At 39.1% G+C, this 21,029-nt stretch overlaps 1 long non-coding RNA gene across 4 annotated transcripts in view; it reads left to right on the top strand.

The window, feature by feature from the left end:
- LOC105369147 (uncharacterized) overlaps positions 1-21,029 on the top strand; it is a 55,281-nt gene that overhangs the window by 22,468 nt on the left and 11,784 nt on the right. For 2 of the 4 annotated variants that reach the window (NR_148214.1, NR_148215.1), the window contains exons 3-4: positions 7,879-7,960; positions 8,831-9,906. The exons of the other annotated variants lie outside the window; for them this stretch is intronic. This is a non-coding gene — a long non-coding RNA (uncharacterized LOC105369147). Of the gene's footprint in view, positions 1-7,878; positions 7,961-8,830; positions 9,907-21,029 lie in introns of those variants that run through there. 4 annotated transcript variants of the gene reach the window in all.

Here is a 21,029-nt window from a genome sequence, read left to right as displayed (position 1 = left end):
TTGTTAAGAACAGTGGCAGCTTGTGGCATTTGAGCTGCAACCAGCTACATTACTCTCACCTCTGCCTCCAGCTCTGTGTTACAAAAGTTCTACTCCAAGTGTTTGCAGCTAAGAAGACAGGGGCTCTGTCTCTCTCTCTCAGTCTGGGCTCATGGTTCACCATGAAAGGGCAGGCCACTAGAAATTCTCTCCCCTAACCCTCAGTACCATGTTGCAGAATCTCTGTAATTCTGCAGACAAATTATTTTAGTGTATGTAATGTATGTAATTAAAAAGAGTTGTATTTAATGTATGTAATTCTGCAGAAAAAGGTAATTTTGGACAGCCATGGCTGAGAGAACTGGGTCTCTATTCTGCCTTCCAGTCACTATTGATAAGCAGAAGCTCTATCTCAGGCATTGCAGACAAAAGATACTGGGACCACAACTCATCCCTACCCCAACTCATAAAATAAAGGGTCCATACCAGAAGAAACAAGTCCAAAAGACCACAGGCTGGTAAACCTGCCCACATGTCCACTGATAGGGTGGGGGTGCCACACTAGATAAAGCATATCTCTATCTTCAGCTTCATTGCAGTTGTATAGGATTTTTGCACAGAAGGAAAGGCAGATCATAAGGACAAAGAGCTCTGCCAGAGGAACCGATTTTATTTGGAAAAGAGAATAGAGAAAAGCCTTGTTGAAAACAGTGAAGATCTTAGTGGAGAACAATTAAGAGGAGGCTGATAGCTCTGCCACAAGCAAAGTGGCAGAAAAACCAAGAGACGGCAAAGAGATAACTAAGAAGAGCTCTTCTGGGATCACAGACAACTCTGGGGATCAGGAAAGCTGTGTACCTATGCTAGGTTGCACCCACTCAGGAGCAATCAGAGCAAGACATGCACAGACTTGAAAGCATTCCCCAACCTGCACACAGACTCATCAACACAAGTGACTTAAACATAACCCCATGAGCAAATACTGACTACACAATATACTACTTTGCCACAAGGATGACTCCTAGGAAGTCAGGCTTAAAAATAATCATAGTCATCCTTGGCTCTCTGGAATAATGTGTGCATGCCCAAAGCTTTGTCCTCCTAGGAATGATCAGAGAGGGAATCTTCAAGCTAGTTATCACTGGCTAAATGTAGGACAAAAATAAATAAAAATAAACTCCCTGAATTGTGACAATAGTTTACAAATCACACATACATCCAGTATTAGAGTACAAATCTAACTAGCTGAATGAACTTAAGCACAACCTTTGACCAGTAAGTTGCTTATGCCAATCCAAGGACAATCTGTAGGTATCCAGGTTAAAAGATAAAATCAAGGGGAAAAAAATCTGAGCAGAGACATCAGAGGCTGCACACTGCAGGGGAAAGAGACGTCATGGCATTAGTTCAGCTAAATCACCTAACAAATAAGCAAATGACAAGGAAAACAACACTCTCCTGGGGTGGGGTGAGAGGGAATCTGTATCCAGAGTTGTTACATTAATTAAAATTTCCAGTTTTCAAAAAAATTATGAGACATACTAAGAACCAGGAAACTGTTACCCATACATAGGAAAAGAATTAGTAGAAATAGAAACTGACTTCAAAAGGACCCAGATGATAAACTACGCAGACAGAGACTTTAAAGAAGCAATTCTAAATATGTTAAAAGAGCTAAAGAAAACCATACTTAAAGAATTAAAAGAAGGTATGATGACAATGTCTCATAAAATAGAGAATATCAATAAAAGTACAGATATTATTTAAAATAACCAAGTGGAAATTTGGAGTTGAAAATTGCAATAACTGAAATCAAAAATTCACTAGAGGGGTTCAAGAGTAGATTTGAGCTTGTAGAAGAAAGAAACATTGAACTTGAAGATAGATCTTTTGAGATGATTCAGTTTGAAAAACAGACAGAATAAAGAATAAAGAACAAGGAACAAAGTCTCAGAAAAATGTGAGACACTATTAAGGACACCCACATATACATTAGTGTGAGTCACCAAATTAGAGGAGAAAAAGGACAGAAAACATTTTTGAAGAAACAATGGCTGAAAATTTCCCAAATTTGATAGAAAACATATACCTCTAAGAAGGTCAGTGAATTCCAAGTAAGATAAACACAATCACTTTCCACTTTTAAAATGTGGAAAGACAAAAAGAAAGTCTTGCAAACAGCATGATAAAAATAATTCATCACATACAAGGAAATCCTAAGATTAACAGCCAGTTTTTCACCACAACAGTGAAGGCCAGAAGGCAATAGGACAACATAGCAAGACCCCATCTCTACAAAAAACAATAAACTGGGCTTGGTGGTGTGCATTTATAGTTCCAGCTACTTGGGAGGCTGAGGCAGGAGGATCACTTGGGCCCAGGAGTTCAAGGCTGTAGTGGACTATAATGGTCACTACACTACAGTCTGGGCAACACAGTGAGATCCTGTCTCAAAACAACAATAATGACAATAAAACCTCCCCCCGAATTCCCAATAATAGTTGGAGATTTCAATACTCCAGTTTCAATAATGGATAGAAAAATGAGGCAGAAGATCAATAAGGAGATGAAAGAGTTGAATGGGGCCATAAACCAACCTGACCTAACAGAGATATATAGGACACACTCCATCAACATTTTGCTCAAGAATACACATTTACAACAGAATACACATTTTGCTCAAGTGAACATGGAACATAATAGACTATATGGTAGGTCACAAAACAAACCTCAATAAATTTAAGGAGAATGAAATAATACCAAGTATCTTTTCCAATCATAGTGGAATTAGATTAGAAATCAATAACAGACATGGGAAACTGGCAAATATGTAAAAATTAAACAACATGTTATTAACCATGGTTTGAAGAAAAAAATCACAAGGAAAATTAGAAAATATTCAAGATGAATGAAAACAAAACATAATATATGGAAACTTATGGTATACACCTCATGGAAAACCTGATCCTAAAATTCATATGGAAATGAAAGATATCTAGAATAGCCAAAACAATAATGACATGAAAAGAACAAATTTGGAGTACTCACACTCCTGATTCCAAAACTTACCACAAACTTCAAGTAATCAAGATTGTGTGTTATAGGCATAAGGATAGACATATAGATCAATGGAATAGAATGGAGAGTCCAGAAATAAACTCATAAATCCCTGGTTAGTTTAGTTTTGACATCAATAGGTGAAAGAATAGTCTTTTCTGCAAAGGATATCCACATGCAGAAGAATGGATGTAGACCTTTATTCACATCATACACGAAAATTAACTCAAAATGCATCAAAGACCTAAATGTAAAAGCTAAAGCTATAAAACTCTTAGAAGAAAGTATAGGAGTAAATCTTTATGAACTTGGGTTAGGCAGTGGTTTCTTAGATATTGCACCTAAAGCACAAGAAACCAAAGAAAAATAAATAAATTGGACTACCGAAAAATTAAAGCCTTTTGTGCTTCAAAGAAAGTATGAAGACAATGAAAAATAACTGACAGAATGGGAGAAATCTGGAAATCACGTGTCTAATAAGGTTATTGTATCAAGAACATATGGAAAACTCTTACAACTCAACAATAAAACAAATAACCTGGTAAAAAATGAGGAAAGTACTTAAATAGTAATTTCTCCCAAGAAGATATATAAATGGCCAATAAACACATGAAAAGATGCTCAACATCATTGGGAAAATGGAAATAAAAACTAAAACAAAATTCCACTTCACACATGCTAGTATGGTTATGAGAAAAAAAAGACAATAACAAATGTTGGTGAGGATGTGGAGAAAATGTGTATACTAGCTTGTTCTCATACTGCTGTAAAGAACTACAGAGACAAGGTAATTTATAAAGAAAAGAGGTTTAGTTGGCTCATGGTTTCACAGGCTGTACAGGAAGCATTGCTGGAGAGGGCTCAGGAAACTTACAGTCATGGCAGAAGGTGAAGGGGAAACAGACATGCCCTACATGGCTGGAGCAGGAGGAAGAGAGTGAATGGGGAGGTGCTAGATACTTTTAAACAACCAGATCTCATTAGATCTCACTCACTATCGTGAGAACAGCAAAGAGGAAATCCGCCCCAATGATCCAGTCACCTCCCACCAGGCCCCTCCTCCAACACTGGAGATTACAATTTGACATGCGATTTGGGTGGGGACACAGAGCTAAATCATATCTTTCTGCCCCCAGCCCCTCCCAAATCTCATGTTCTTCTCACATTTCAAAACACAATCATGTCTTCTCAACAGTCCCCCAGAGTCTTAACTCATTCCAGCATTAACTCAAAAGCCTAAGTCCAGAGTCTCATCTGAGATTAGGCAAGTCCCTTTTGCCTATGAGCCTGTAAAATCAAAACAAGTTAGTTACCTCCAAGATACAATGGGGGGTACAGACATTGGGAAAATGCTCCCATTCCAAAAGGGAGAAAAATTGGCTAAAACAAAGGGGCTACCAGGCCCATGCAAGTTGAAATCCAGTAGGGCAGTCATTAAATCTCAAAGCTCCAAAATAATCTCCTTTGACTTCATGTCTCACAGCCAGGCCACACTGATGCAAGGGGTGGGCTCTCAAGGCCTTGGGCACCTCCACCCCTGTGCCACTGTGGGGTACAGTCCCCAGGGCTGCTTTCATGGACTGGTGTTGAGTGTCTGTGGCTTTTCCAGACACATGATGCAGGTTGTCAGTGGATCTACCATTCTGGGGTCTGGAGGATTGTGGCCTTCTCCTCACAGAGGAGCAGTGCCCCAGTGGGGACTCTGTGTGGGAACTCCAACCCCACATTTCCCCTCCACACTTCCCTAGAAGAGGTTATCCATGAGGGCTCCACCCCCACAGCAGACTTCTGCCTGGACATCCAGATGTTTCTATATAGCTTCTGAAATCCAGATGAAGGCTCCCAAGCCTCAACTCTTGTCCTCTGCACACCTGCAGGCTTAATACCACATGGAAGCCACCAAGGTTTATGACTTGCACCCTCTGGAGCAGTGTGGCCTGAGATGTATCTGGGGCCCTTTAAGCCAAGGCTGGATCTGAACTGTCTGGGACGTAGGGAGAAATGTCCTGAGGTTGCACAGGGCAGCAGGGCCTCAGGCCTGACTTCTGAAACTACTCTTCCCTCCTAGGCCTCTGGGCCTGTGTGGCAGGGAGGCTGCTGTGAAGGTCTGAAATGCCTTCCAGTTCTTTTCCCCATTATCTTGGCTGTTAACATTTGGCTCCTCTTTACTTATGCAGATTTCTGCAGCTGGATTGAATTCCTCCCCAGAAAATGGATTTTTCTTTTCTATCACATGGTCAGGCTGCAAATTTTGTAAACTTTTATGCTCTGCTTCCCTTTAAAATACAAGTTCCAGTTGTAGATCATCTCTTTGCTCATGCATACGACCATATTAGAAGCAGCCAGGTCACTTCTTGAATACTTTGCTGCTTAAAAATTTCTTCTGCCATATACCCTAAATCATCACTCTCAAGTTCAAAGTTCCAAAGATCCCTAGAGCATGGGCACAATGCCACCAGTCTCTTTGCTAAAGCATAGCAAAGGTGACCTTTGCTCCATTCCTAATAAGTTCCTCATCTCCATCTGAGACAACTTCAGCCTGGACTTTATTGTCCATTTCACTGTCAGCATTTTGGTCACAATTTAACAAGTCTCTAGGAAGCTCCAAACTTTACTTCATCTTCCTTTCTTCTTCTGACCCCTCCAAACTGTTCCAACCTCTGCCTGTTACCCAGTTCCAAAATTGCTTTTGCATTTTCAGGTATATGTATAACAATGACTCACCTCTCTGTTGCCAATTTTCTATATTAGTCCATTTTCACAATGCTAAAAAGAACTTCTTGTAATAGGATAATTTATAGAGGTTTAATTGGCTCATGGTTCCACAGGTTGTACAGGAAGCATGGCTGGGGAGGCCTCAGGAAACTTAGAATATAGCAGAAGGTGAAGGTGAAGCAGACATGTCCTACATGTTTAGAGGAAGGGGAAGAGAGCAAAGTGGGGAGGTGCTACACACTTTTGAACAACAAGATTCTGTGAGAACTCACTATCATGAGAACAGCACAGGGGAAATCCCCCAACCATGATTCAGTCACCTCCCACCAGACCCCTCCTCCAACACTGGAGTACAATTCAGCATGAGATTTGGGTGGGAACACAGAGCCAAATTATATCACTGGGATGCTCATTTTTGCTGGTAGGAATGTAAAATGTAGCAATTGCTTTCTATAACAATTTGGCAATTCTTTAAAAAATTAAGGTTATCAAATGACCCAGAAATTTTATCCAAGAGAAATTAAAAACCTATGTCTACACAAAAAGTTGTACTCAAATGTTCAGAGCAGCATTATTCAGAACGGCCAAAAAAAGTAGGAACAACCCAAATTTTCATCAACTGGTGAATGGATAAATAACATGTAGAATACTCATACAATGGAATATTATCTGGCCATAAAAAGGCATGAAGTTCTAACACACGCTGCAACATAGATGGGCCTTGAAAACATTATGCTAGGTGAAAGGAGCCAAAAGACCACATTTTATATGTGGCCATTTATATAAAATGTTCAGAATAAGAAAATGTATAATGACAGAAAATATATTAGCATTTGTGTGGGGCTAGAGAGGGCCTAACAGGGGAATGGAGATTACTGCTGATGGACACTGGGTTTCTTTCAGGGGAGACAAAAATGTTCTAAAATTAGATTGTGATGATGGTTGCACAGCCTTGTGTTTCTACTAAAACAATTAAATGGGTGAATTATATGGTATGTGAATTATATTTTAGTAAAGCTGTTTTAACAAAAGTAAGAGATTGTGAGACAGTTGGATATAGGACACTGTATCACAGGTTCAAGGAATGTTTATTAGATCTCTGGTAGTTTAGAGAGCAAAAATCCCTTATCCACACTAAGTGAACACATACATCTCTTTGCCCCTGGAGTTTCTGAGTATTATGTTCTTTGTCACAATTACTGGAATAGAACCAGTGCTGCTGTCAATTGGGAATTGATGAGTGTTAACAGCATGAAACCAACACAGATGGTGCTGGGCAATGTAGCTCCATGGGGATCTGAGAGTTCTCCTAATATGGGCATCTTTTTCTTGAGTTGCAGCTGACATCTGACCTCTAAATAGCAGAGGTGTTGGGAAAGGCTCAGGAAATGGTCCTGACTCAGCTGATAGTTTCTATAGACTCCTTGCAAGTAGGGCTGTGTTGAAGTTAGAAGTCAAAACCAATGAAAGGAGTCTTAACAACAGTACTGAAAAGACCTCCTTTCCTAGAAAATAATAGCATTTTAGGAGGCCTAGGAACAATTCTAGGCCAATAAAAGTAACAACAACAATAATTACCACCACCACTGCTATTTAGTAAGCCCATGTGCTAGATACTGTGTTACATGCCTTAATATGATTAAATATCTAGTAGGTATGGAGTTCTTATGTGCCCAGCTCTGTGCTAAATGCTCTTTGTCGATTCTTAAGACAACCTTCTGAAATAAACAATTATTATGTTCATTTTATTTATTAGGAAACTGAGGCTAAAGAGTTTAGTATTCTGCCAAGGCCAGCTAATAGTTACAGAGCATGGTTCCAAATTCAGAGCTGTCGGAAGCTTAAGCCCATGTGATGAACCACGAATGTGATTTTACCTCATTTAAGCCTTGCAGCAAACTCTGCCAAGTAAGTAGGATTATCCTTATTGGAGAGGATGATTGCTTATTCCTATTACTCTGCCTGTCTCCAGGCAGAGAAGCTTTCATTAGTACAATACACCCAGTAACTTTCTATTCCCTACAGGAAGAGTTTGGAAGAAAGATCTTTACAAGCACTATTGATCCATTTCTCTCCTATTTCTCTCCCATTTCTGTCTTTGTCTCTGTCAAATCTGCCCACCAACAGCTAGTGTGCATTTACTCCTGCCTCTCCATGCCTGAAGGAAGGAATGAAGAGGTCTCTGCTGTCCATCTGAGCCAGTGACTGGGTGAATATGCCTGCCCAATTCTAGCATGCAGTATTAGGAAGCCCACTGTTGCTGTGCACCTAAGCCCAGGTTTTCCAGTATCAGCTCTTTTAGTAATAAAGTTGGCATTGTAGTTTCTAGCTATCTGACCTCTTTGGCTATCTCATGATTGGTTTTGAACTTGAATGGGAAATATGGATGCCATTTATAGGACCTAGTATAGTCCCAACATCCATTTTATGTATGATGAAGCCTTGGCTTCAGAGGGTTTATGTGACTTGCTTATTTTTCATAGAAGAATACTGCTGAGCCTTATATAAGAGACACAGTTATTATTGAGGATCTCAAAGTGGTTTGAACTCAAGCAAGTATAACCCTTTCTATCCTCAATGCCTGAGTGGTCTATTACTGCTCTTCTACCATTCTCTAGTGCTCCTTTAATGGTGGCTAAGGCTGGTCCAGTATCACTTCCTTGAGCAAGGGAACTCATCTCTTGCTTTTGGAGATTCATTTACTATCCATTGTTTAGTTCATGTGCCTTTGATGTTCAGTACACATAGAAGGAACTATCATCTTCCTCAATAAAACCACACTGTCATCCTCTAAAGCTATTGGTGGGTGGGAAATTGACACTGAAAGGCAGCCGATGTTAGAGCCCTATCTCCTGTCCTCTGAGATCTTCCTTTCCCTTAGGAATCTCACATTCATCACAGCTGTCACCACCACAGTGCCCCCAGGGAACTCTGACTCTCGTTTCCCACATGCATGGATTCTCCTTTTAACTTCCCATAGCTCAGCTAAGACTTTCTTGACAGCTCAGGGACTCCAAAAGGGAATTGCTATAGAATAACTGGCCCCTAGATATAACTGTTCCCATGAACTCTCTTACAGGCTGTCTCTACCAGGCCAGAATTTGGGGCAGGCAAGATTTTCAGCATCCCTAAAATCACACTAAGAAGATAAACATGGAAACAGCTTGGAGCTGCCCTACCCATAGTGAGGTGGTACTGACTGGAAGACAGCTTAAACGATTTGGAGAAAAGTGGAATACATTAATCTCAGAAAACTCTACCACCTGTAGAAAGAGAGCTAAAATGGAGACAACCACAGGCAGTCTAAGATACGCTGAACTACTACAGAAAATAATGCAGCATGAAGGAATGCTGGAAGGTATGGGGTCAGAGCAAGCTGATGGAGGGTCCTTCATTTCCAAGCCACGAGTACAGCAGGATGTAAGGCTTAGTTCATAAGAACATCTCCTGAAAGACAATCTCTATAAAAACTGTTTCAATAGAAAGAATGCAAGATGTAACTGTTTAATAATAGGACTGATATTTTAAAAAACAAATGAACGTAATAGAAGACTAGATGGATGTGCTTCTCAAAGTCCTCTCTGTGGGAGGCTTCATCCTCACTCTAGATGTGTTGCCTGTAGCAGCTGTTATTGATTACCCGCCCATAGCCTATCCATACTTACTCATCATTCCTTTACCTACCAGTGGCATCCTATTGGAAGCACCTGCGACTTTCTTAGGGCTTTCTCTTGGCCAAGCATTGGAAGGCCAGCAGTATTGAAAAGTTAATAGTCTTGGAAGCACTGGCCCTCAACTAATGACAAAGAAAAAATATAAGATAAATTCCCCAGCTTCCTTGCCTCCTGAATGGGTCAAGTCTGTGGTGTGTTCTACCCGTTTTTCAGAGGTCCCATGTTTTAAACCCTAGCTGCTCAAGGCAATTTCCTGATCATTGATGTACTCTCTATTGGCTAATTTTTAGATAATATGGAATATGCTCAAAATAGGATACTCAAAGAAAAAATCAGATGCCAAAATTATGTACACCGAATGAGTTCAATTCTGTATAAGTGTGGACATACACACATCAAAAGAAATATGGAACAAAAGATACTAAATGTTTATAGTGGTTATTTCTGGGTGTTGAAATTTTAAGTGATTTTCCTTTTCTTCTTTGTAATTGTCTCTATTTTTCAGTTTTTTCAATATACCCTGTATTTCTTTTAAAATCAGAACAAACCACCATAAGTTATTTTAAAAGGCTTATAAAGCTGATGAATATTTTGTCTTTGTTTCCTTTGTGTTGCCATAGTCTGAGGGAGTAGTTCTCAAGTGTAGTCTCTGGACCAGCAGCATCAACATTACCTGGGAACTTGTTAGAAATGCAAATTCTCAGAGGATGCCTAGGACCTTCTGAATAAGAAACCCTCGGGGTTGGGGGTGAAGGGGACAGCAATCGGCATTTTAAGAAGCTCTCCAGGTGATTTTTATGCACATTGAAGTTTGTGAACCACTGGTCTAAAGATAACTTTTATTACACCTACCTGTTAGTCCCCACTAAAGCTCCCTGGGTGGGGTCCAAAAATTTCAGTCATGTAAAATGCAGGATTGCATTTTTGTGGGGTTGGCAAACTGATTGGGATGAGCCTGCTGAGTAAGATGAAAGCTCATTACAGTTGTCTTATGTCTGAATTCATTGTAGGGCAAATTATGTTGGGGTTTCATCATAAATATATTGGTCTGCAGAGTTTATATATTCTGTATTGAAATCTATGGTGCATTTAATAGGCAGAAGGCTAGACTAATTTAAATCTAATCTGATGATCACGGAGACTGCTTGACACCTGTGATGTTTCACAGGCTTGGAGAAAGTTTTGTTTTCTTTATACCTTTATTTTCTACTTGCCTGGTGGCTTCATTTCCTTAGTTTGATTTTTCTTCCATAATTCTTCTCTCTTTCCCCCAATTATGCAAAGATAGTGGATTTCAATATTTTGTGGAAAAAACTACCATCCCTTGGATTTGAGAGGCCCCTCCTCAGTTTCCCCCATGGAGCTTTTGTTTTCCAGTGTGTTACATTAGTTGTTTGTGAATCTGTCTTCTCCCCCACCAAATGGAGGCCCTAAATGCCATGTGAGCAGGGACAGTGACTTATACCTCCTTGCATGCTTGGTTCTTAGCACAGGGCCTGGCAGAGACAGCAAGAACTCAAAACATATTGGTGAATGAGTGAATGATGATGCTGTAATTCAAGACACACATTCATTTATTTAGCATTAAAATGTTTTACATAGCAAATATTAATACAAGAAATGCATGCCAGGAACTTAACCTACATTCATTTTAATATGTGAAGAATAGGAATATGTGTACTTAAAATACAATGTGCTGTGCCGTTTATCATTTTGTTCATCTTCACCTCATCAATTTTTCAGAAACTTCCAGCAGATGGCACAATAAATACTGTCATGGGACTGCATTAGAAATTGGTTAATATTTTTCAAGATGAGCTTAAAAATTAAAATGAATAAAAGTTTCTTAGTTCAATTAATTATAATAACTGGCATTTATTTGCCATTTTCCCATTAACAAAGTGCTTTTAAATCTTTGTCTTGATTCTGCTCAAATTCTGTCAACATATTGAGAACGTTTGATTATGTACTTTAGACTTTTGTTGATATGTCATTCAATCACGGTTGCTGAATAATTTATAATCATTAATGACAATGCTATTATTTCATATTTGTAACATACCAATCTTTTAAAGACAAATTTTTTATGTAATTCAGTCACAGTTGCTGAATAATTTATAATCATTAATGACAATGCTATTATTTCATATTTATAACACACCAATCATTTAAAGACCAATTTTTTCTATGAAAAATTTGGGAAAGATCCTGCACGTGAGAACTGAACAGTAACTCAGACCACTAATAATGTAGTGAACTGCTTCTCTAGCTCATTAAACAGTAATGATTCCTCTCATTTGTGTGGCATATTGTGGATGCAAAGCACTTACACAGACACAACATCCTTTGATCCTTGCAGTAGCCCTATGATGTGGGCCAAACAAGTATTATTTTGTGGATAAAGAGAAAGTGGTTTTTCTTCTGTCTTTCTTTTCCATTCTTCATCCTTCCCTGCTGGGCCCCATTACTGCCCTTCCCAGCTTGGTTGACTCAGGCTTAATATCTCATAAATTTTAGCGAAACTCCAGTGACACATGAATGGCAATTAATATTAGTTTCGCTTAGCAAATTACAAGGAAATGCTTAGAAAGGTTAAAACTCATTTCTAAGGGCACAGAGTTATCTGATAATTGGAGATAGGAATGTTTCTTTCTCCTCCCCTCCGGGCTAAATGGAGTCCTGAGCCTGAAAAAGCTGGTGTCCCATTCTTTGCCCATGCTCTGCCCATTCTCTGGGGACTAAAAATCCACTCACATGAGGGAGTTAGAGACTTCGTATGGCAATTACCCTTAAGGCAATTGATATATGTTTTAAAAGAGAACTCTGGGACAGCAACATCTAATATAAAGTAATGAATTGGTAATGGAGCACCCTCAGAAGTCTTGAATAATACATGGTGTATTTCTAGATAATCCACAAGTGAAAATAGCTGAAGGTGTGTTAAGACACAACGAACTCCCAACTTCATATAATTTTTATTGAGATTTAATTTATATATCATAAAATTTTACCCCTTTAAAGCTTATAATTTAGTCGTATTTAGTATATTCAGACTGTTGTGCAAACATTACCACTATCAAATTCCAGAACATTTTTATCACCCTCAAAAGAGATCTTATGGCCGGGCGTGGTGGCTCACACCTATAATCCCAGCACTTTGGGAGGCCGAGGCAGGCAGATCGTGAGGTGAGGAGATGGAGACCATCCTGGCCAATGTGATGAAACCCCATCTCTACTAAAAATACAAAAATTAGCTGGACATGGTGGCGCGTGCCTGTAATTCCAGTTACTCAGGAGACTGAGGCGGGAGAATCGCTTGAACCAGGGAGTCAGAGGTTACAGTGAGCCGAGATCACACCACTGCACACTCCAGCCTAGTGACAGAGTGAGAGTCCATCTCAAAAAAAAAAAAAATCTTATTAGTAGTCACTTCCCTTTTTCTCCTCCCCACAACTCCCAGAAACTGCTAATATACTCTCTGTACTCTGTGTTCTAAACAATCTATATAAATGGAATCACATAATGTGTGACTTTTTGTTTGAAAAAGTGTAGCATAGTGTTTTCAAGGTTCATCCATGTCTGTTGGGTCTAGTTGGTTTATAATGTTGTTCAAGTATTCAGTTTTCTTGCTGATTTTTTGTCTGGTTGTTCTGTTATTAGAAGTGGGATATTGAAGTCTCCAACTATTATTGTTGACTTATTTTCATTTCCTTTCAAGTCTGTCAGTTTTGCTTCATGTTGTTAGGTGCATATGTATGTATATTGTTGTATCTTTTTGCTGGATTGAGTCTTTTACCATCATATTTTAAAGTCTGTTTTCTCTGATATTAGTATAGCCACTTCATCTCTCTTTTGGTTACTGTTTACATGGTATATTTTCCCCATATTTTAACTTTCAATCTATTTGTGTCTTTTAATCTAAGGGAGTCTCTTGTACCTGGCATAAAGTTGGATCATGTTTTGTTTTGTTTTTTTTTTTACAAAATGTAGTTCTGTCTTTTAATTAAAATGTTCAATTTATTTACATTCAATGTAATTACTGATAAGGTAAGATTTATGTAAGTAATTTTTCTATTTGTTTTCCATTCATTTTTTATGTTTTATTCCTTTATTCATCCATTATTGCCTTTTTTGTGATAAATATTTTCTGGTGTATAATCTTAATTCCCTTGTTATTTCTTTTACTATACATGTTTTTAGTTACATTCATAGTAGTTGTCCTGGGTATTATAATTAGTATCTTTTTTAAAGTAAATTAAATTTAAAAAATTTTAAAAATAGAGTCTTGCTGTGTTGCTCAAGCTGGTCTCAAACTCCTGTTCTCAAGCAATCCTCCCACCTCAGCCTCCCGAGTAGCTGTAAACCAGCTGGTTTACAGCTACTCGGGAGGCTAACACTTCCAGCCGCAATTAATATCTTGATTTATAACAATCTAGTTAGGATTAATACCAGCTTAATTTCAGTAGTATACACACATTTTATCCTATATAGTTCTGCCCCACCACTCCTTTGTCTTATTGTTGTCATACAGATTACATCTCTATATATTATCTGCCCAACAAAACAGATTTACATTAGTACTTTATATAGTTGCATTTTAAATTAGATAGGAAGAAAAAAAGAATTACAAACAAAAGATTTATACTATCTTTTATATCAGCCAATGTAGTTGCTTTTGCCAGCACTCTTTTATTTTTTTTTTCCAGAGACAGGGTATTGCCCTGTTGCCCAGGCTGGAGTGCAGTTGCCATCATAGTTCACTACCACCTCAAACTCCTGGGATAAAGGAATCCTCCTGCCTCAGCCTCCCAAGTATGTAGGACTACAGGTGCATGCCACCACACCTGGCTAATTTTTAAATTTTTTTGTAGAGACAGTGTCTTGCTATGTTGCCCAGGCTGGCCTTGAACTTCTGGCCTCAAGTGATCTTCCTGCCTTGGCCTCCCAAAATGTTGGGATTATAGGTGTGAGCCACTGAGCCCAGCCTTATCAGTGCTCTTTATTTCTTCATTTGTATTTGACTTACTATCTGGTTTTTATTCATTTCAGCCTGAAACACTCCCTTTAGTGTTTCTTGTAGTACAAGTCTGCTAGTGACAAATTCTTTCAGTTTTTGTTTATCTTAATTTCTCCTTTATTTTCGAAGGTTAGTTCTGCTGGATATAAAAGTCTTGGTTGACAGGATGCCCCCCCACTCCCACCCCATCCCTCTGCTTTCTGACCTCCAGTTTCTGATGAGAAATTATCTGTTAATCTTATTGAAGATCACTTGTATGTGATGAATCACTTCCCTCTTGTTGCTTTCAAAATTGTATCTTTGTCTTTTGACAACTTGACAATAATGTGTCTATGGGTGGATCTCTTTGAGTTTTATTCTACTTGGAGCTTGTAGTGACTTCTTGGATTGTAAATTAATGTTTTTCATCAAATTTGGGAAGTTTTCAGTCATAATGTCTGTAAATATTCTTTCTGCTCTTGTTTCTTTTCTCTTTTTCTGGCATTCTCATTATGAGTGTATTGACATGCTGATGTGTCCCACAGATGTCTAAGGCTCTGTTTATTTTTCTTCATTCCTTTTTTCTTCTCTCTCTAATCTTCAAACTGGATAATGTCAACTGCCCTATCTTTAGATTTGATGATTCTTTCTACTGCTAGCTCAAATCTGCTGTTGAATCCCTCTAGATAATTTTTAAATTTCAGTTGTTCTACTTTCCAACTATAGAATTTTTATTAATTCTTTTTGATACTTTCCATCTCCTTATTGATATTCTCTATTTGGTGAGAAATTGTTCTCATATATTCTTTTAATTCTTTAGACATAATATTTCTTTAGTTAGTTGAATATATTTAAATAGGTATTTTAAAGTCGTTGGCTATTAAGTCCAACATCTGGGCTTCCTTAGTGAATATTTATAATGACTACTTTTGTTTCCCTCTGTGTATGGGCCATACTTTCTTGATTTTTTTTTCTTTTTTTTTTTTTTTTGAGATGGAGTCTCACTCTGTTGCCCAGGCTGGAGTGCAGTGGCGTGATCTCTGCTCACTGCAAGCTCTGCCCCCCGGGTTCATGCCATTCTCCTGCCTCAGCCTCCTGAGTAGCTGGGACTACAGGTGCCCGCCACCACGCCTGGCTAATGTTTTTGTATTTTTAGTAGAGACGGGGTTTCACAGTGTTCGCCAGGATGGTCTCGATCTCCTGACCTCGTGATCTGCCCGCCTTGGCCTCCCAAAGTGCTGGGACTACAGGCATGAGCCACCGTGCCCGGCCACTTTCTTGATTTTTTAGATATCCCTCTTATTTTGTTGAAAATTAGACATTTTAAATTATAAAATATAGCAACTTTGAAAATCTGATTCTTCCTTCTTCCCCAGGATTGTTGTTATTTCTGTTTTTTCTTATTGTTGTTTGTTTAATGGCATTTCTAAACTTATTCTGCAAGGTCTATATTCATTGTAGTGTATAGCCATTGAAATCTGCTCAGTCAGCTTTGTGGTCAGCTAATAATTGGATATAGATATCCTTAGATACCTGAAACCAGTAAGTGTTCTAGCCTTTGCTAAGAGGTTTTGTGTACATATTGGGACATACTGTCAATGCTTAGGCACACCATTTACAACCTCAACCTCTTTTTATTTTTTATTTACTTTTTATTTTTCTCGAGACGGAGTTTCGCTCTTGTTGCCCAGACTGGAGTGCAATGGCGAGATCTCAGCTCACCGCAACCTCCGCCTCCCGGGTTCAAGCGATTCTCCTGCCTCAGCTTTCCCGAGTAGCTGGGATTATACGCATGCACCACCACGCCTGGCTAATTTTGTGTTTTTAGTGGAGACAGGGTTTCTCCATGTTGGTAAGGCTGGTCTGGAACTCGCGACCTCAGGTGGTCTGCCTGCCTCGGCCTCCCAAAGTGCTAGGATTACAAGCGTGAGCCACCACGCCTGGCCTATTTTATTTTTAGAGATAGGGGTCTTGCTGTATCACCCAGGCTGGAGTGCAGTGGCATAATCATAGCTCACCGCAGCCTCAACTCCTGGGCTCACAGATTCTCCAGCCTCAGCCTTCCAAGTAGCTGGGACTACAGGTGTGTGTCACCATACCTGGATATTTTTTACATTTTTTGTAGAGATGAGGCCTCTTTATTTTGCCCAGACTGGTCTTGAACTCCTGGCTTCAAGCAATACTCCTGCCTCAACTTCCCAAAGTGCTGGGATTCTAGGCGTGAGCCACTATACCCAGCCAAATTTCTACTTCTTGCTTGTGCAGAGCCTCAAGGTCAGCCAGAGAAATGAGCTTAGGACTTTCTTAAGTATTTCCTGGGCCTGTACACAGCTCTATACACATGCATGGACTTCCAGATTTCCAGGAATATGTTGGAACTTGTCAAAGCCCCCTATGGAATGTCATTCCCCAGATTTTTCTAAGTTTTTTTGGTCCGATTTTTTGCTTACCCAAATTGTTATTGCTGCTTCATATAGCTGTTTCATTGTATATAACTGCCACTGATTGTTTTCAATAAACACTCTTGGTGAAAATGTTGTCACTGGGCAAGCTCTAGTAGGTCAGATAAAGACAAACTCTGCAAGTGGGGTTTTCCAGGGAATTCGCAGACAGGTCAAGCAATGACAATTCTCTGAAAATGAGGCTTTGAAAGAACTCCAACCCTAATGTGTGTCCCCCAGAAGCTTCTGGTTTTCACAGTAACAGTGGGCTATTGGTTTTCAAGGCTACCACAGAGGTGGGAGAGAGGCATAGAAACAAAGCAAGTTAAAATGTCAAAAAAAATTTGTTAAGATTCAGTCATTTTTCTTGAATTAATGCTTCCTGAATTGTTGCAAGCTTTTGTTTAATATCCAGGATTCTGAAGAAGTTGACATAATATTTTCTAGTGTTTTTGTTGCTTTTGTAGAGGAGATGATATTCAATGGTTCTTATTCCATCATTCTTGCTGATTTCATCATCCAATACAATTTTTAGTAAGACCACACTGCAACTTATTTTACCTTTCTGTGCCTCAGCTTACTCATCTGTTTATTGGGAATAATATTAGTGTCTACCATGAGGGTTTTTGAGGACAAAATAAGTTAATTCATGTAAAAGACCTAGCATAGTAAATGTTAAATATTATTATTTCCCTCTTGTTTTCTTGGCTTTCTAATTTTCAATTTGATATTCAAGAACATCTCACTATTTGGGAAATGAAATGGGAGTCAAAGAGCCTTTAGTCTGGGAGTAATCACTGGTATAACTTGAGATGTTACTGATTTTAAGACTGAGCGCATCTGATTTGGAACCAATAGATCTCCCCGCCATCCCCAACCTCTTGCCATTATTTCCCCTTACCCCTTAACACTTGATTGCTTTCTTTCCATTGAGCTCACTCTGCAGGGTATTCTTCTGGTTGCTCTGGAAATTGATCACTTTCTCATTTAACAAACCCAAGTCCACAATGGCACCTGACAGAAAACACAGCCCTTGAGGGAGCATGCCCTTGAGGGAGCACTACTCAATATTTTAAAGTCATACAATTAATACATGGTAAGTACACAAGCCCTGAAGTATTACTTGGGCTGATAAAAGATATAGCACATGCCCGGGGAAAAGCTCATTACATGGCAGCAAAATTGTCTCATTGATGTTTCAATTCCAGAAGGACAACTGAACCACTTACTCAGGGAAATTTTACATGCCATAAATGAGGCAGAAGGAGCTATTTATCATATTGTGTAATTTCACATACTTCCACTCCCTTGTTACTGGAAGCAACTTGGTATGAGAGGAAAAGCAAATGATTTGGAGCTACAAAGACCTCAGTTCAAATCTCAGCTCTGACACTTATTACCGGTATGACTTACATGAATTCTTTGAGTTCCACTTTTTACAAATGTGAAAAAGAGATAATAACATAGCTCATAGATATTTGAAAGATTAGAGGAGCTAATACATTCTAAGTATTTAGTAGAATGCCTAGCCACATGGTAAACATTTAATAAATATTGAATTTACTTTTAAATAATTTTTCTTTTTCTCCTTCCATACTAATTGAGTTTCCTCTAGATGGCAAACACAGTGTTAAATAACTAGCAAACAAAACATCTGTCCTCTTTCCTAACAGAGAGAGTTTAAGGGCTGATGGGAAAGAATGACACTGAACATTTAAAACAAACAAGTATCAATTACAAGTTGTAATTAGGACACTAAAAGAAAAGAACTTAGTCTGTGGGAAAATAATAGGGGGGACCAATTTAGATTAGGCAGAAAAGGAAGTTCTTCTGAGGAGGAGCCATTTAGGCCTAAAAGATGAGAAGTGGCCACCTGGATGACAGGGAAGGAACCGCTTGGGGAAGGATTCTGAAATAGGCAAAAGCTTGATGTGTTCAAGAATCTGGAGGATGACCAGTGTGAATGCAGCATACTGGAGGAGGGAGAAGGTGGCTGACAGCAGAGTGAGGCAAGGGAGAGGTCATGGGAAGCATTGCCAGGTAAGCATGGAGGAGGAGGGAAAGGGCGAGAAGGAAGGAGAAGGACAGCTAGAATTCACTGAGCACTTGCTGTGTGCCAGGCACACTTCTAAGAATTTTACATTTATTAACTCACATAACACCCTAGATGAGCGGCCTGTTATTGTAGGCCTTGTAACGGGGCTTGTGTTTATTCTGAACGCAATGGGAAACCATTGAGGGATTCTCAGCAGAGAGAGCCGTGTTTGGGTTTAAATCTCACAAAGGGCCTGCTGCTGTGTTGAGGAAAGATTGGAAATATTCAAGAGTAGAAACTAGTCATTATATTCTTAACCACTCTTTTCCTCTTACAAACCCTGTGACTTGAAGATTTGTTGGATATAAAGTGCCTTCTAATGAATGGATACAATTATTACAGTAAGTTCATTGCAAGTGCAGCAGGAAAGAAAAGCAGAAATAAAACTGTAAAAACCATAACATATGACAATTTTATACTTTGTATTAAGTCCTATGGGTAAAAAGTATCTATTGGGATAAAAATTCAAGTTTTAAAAGAAGGAAAAAAATACGGATTTCACAGATTCCTTGGCCTTATAGAAACGGGACCTTACAAAATAGTAATCAAGTTTACACAAAGAGAGTCTGTTGCAATTATTTTGCAAGTCAGCTGAGAATTTTTTAAGTGAATCAGAGATGGTGTAAGTTGCCTGTAACACTACAAGAGAATGAGACTATAGCGATGTGTGGTACTTCCCTGAGTGTGTGGATGCCACTGCTGTAGGACAGGGTTGTCAGTGCACGCTTACCAACTCACTAAGTCCTAGCAAAGGTGCTGCTTCATCAGGAGAAATATTAGCTTTAACATCTAACACTGGTACCTTACATATGCATAATCCAATGTCAAGGATTTAATCGGCATATTTGAGTTAAAATCAAGGGTCGTCTACACTGAGATTTCATGGTTTACTTGCTTCCCTGCCATGCTTGATTGAGCAGATTAGTGACCTGGTAGTGGAGAGTATATCTGTCATCTCTTTTTGCCTCTCTACCTTACATGGTGAATTAACTTTTAAGGCTTAAATAAAAATTCAAAAGGAATAGCTCTGAAGTTGATTTCTTTGGAGATGTGTGAAAATTTAGGGACTCCTTTCTTCTAGATTGTCCTTAAATGTCTGAGTTTGCCAGGACCTGGGTCTCTGGTTCTGGCAGCCTTCACTCGGCTCAAGGGGGTTCACTGTGTTTGGTTGTGTTTACATTTGTTATTGTCTAGGGTAAGATATTTGTATTGGGTGAGGCCTTTTAGACCACAGAAAGATCACTATCAACTTCAAACCTATTCATTTCCATCTGTTAGAGAAACACATTTTGCTTTTACTGTTTATAGAGTTAGAGCCAGGCTTATTGTTCTGATGGGAAGGAGAATGATGTCATCTCTGCTGACTGTAGTAATTGTTTGGGAATGTATTGATATGGTTTTCTACTGCTGGGTTTGTAAGTGTTTTCCTTGTAAATGGCCCAAGGTGGGCAGGGGCATCTTTGCCTAGACAGGCCTTTGCACTCACAGGAAATCTCTGCTTTTCCTTTTCCTCTTGTCTCTGAAATGTGCACAAACTTCTTTCCCCCTTCTTCTACCACTTATCAAACCCTGTGACCCAGTGTCCCCATGATGTGTGCATCAAGATTAGTTACAGATAACAGAACACTCTTGCTGGTTTTAGCAGAAAGGGATTTAATATGAAAAATTAGATGCTTAATGAACCTCTGGAAGGGCTAAGGGGCAAGTTCTAAGCTTACCTCCCACGAATGAACTCTGGTACAGCTCCACAGAGCTGCCATGTTCAGGGAACTGCTATAAAAGAAAAGGAGAAAAACTTGAGACCTTGGTCAAAGTTTTTGCTAAGAATCCATCATTGATTTGTCATTGTTATGTTGGTTATGGATTGACGCAATTGCTTTATTATGTTAATGTTGGGGAAAAAAACCGTGACCTGTGTCTTTGGTCAGTGCAACAAGGTCCCTAGATTTGTAGCCTGGGAGCTTGTTACAAATAAAAGATCTTGAGCCCCCATCCCCACTCCTATTGAATTAAAAGCTCTAGGGGTGCAGCCCAGGAATCTGTGCTTTAACAAGTCCTCCAGGTGATTCTGA

Source organism: Homo sapiens, chromosome 8 (assembly GCF_000001405.40).
Source record: "Homo sapiens chromosome 8, GRCh38.p14 Primary Assembly".
Lineage (NCBI taxonomy): Eukaryota > Metazoa > Chordata > Mammalia > Primates > Hominidae > Homo > Homo sapiens.
The sequence above is the reverse complement of the archived record's forward strand: the minus strand, read 5'-3'. Positions and strand labels throughout refer to the sequence as shown.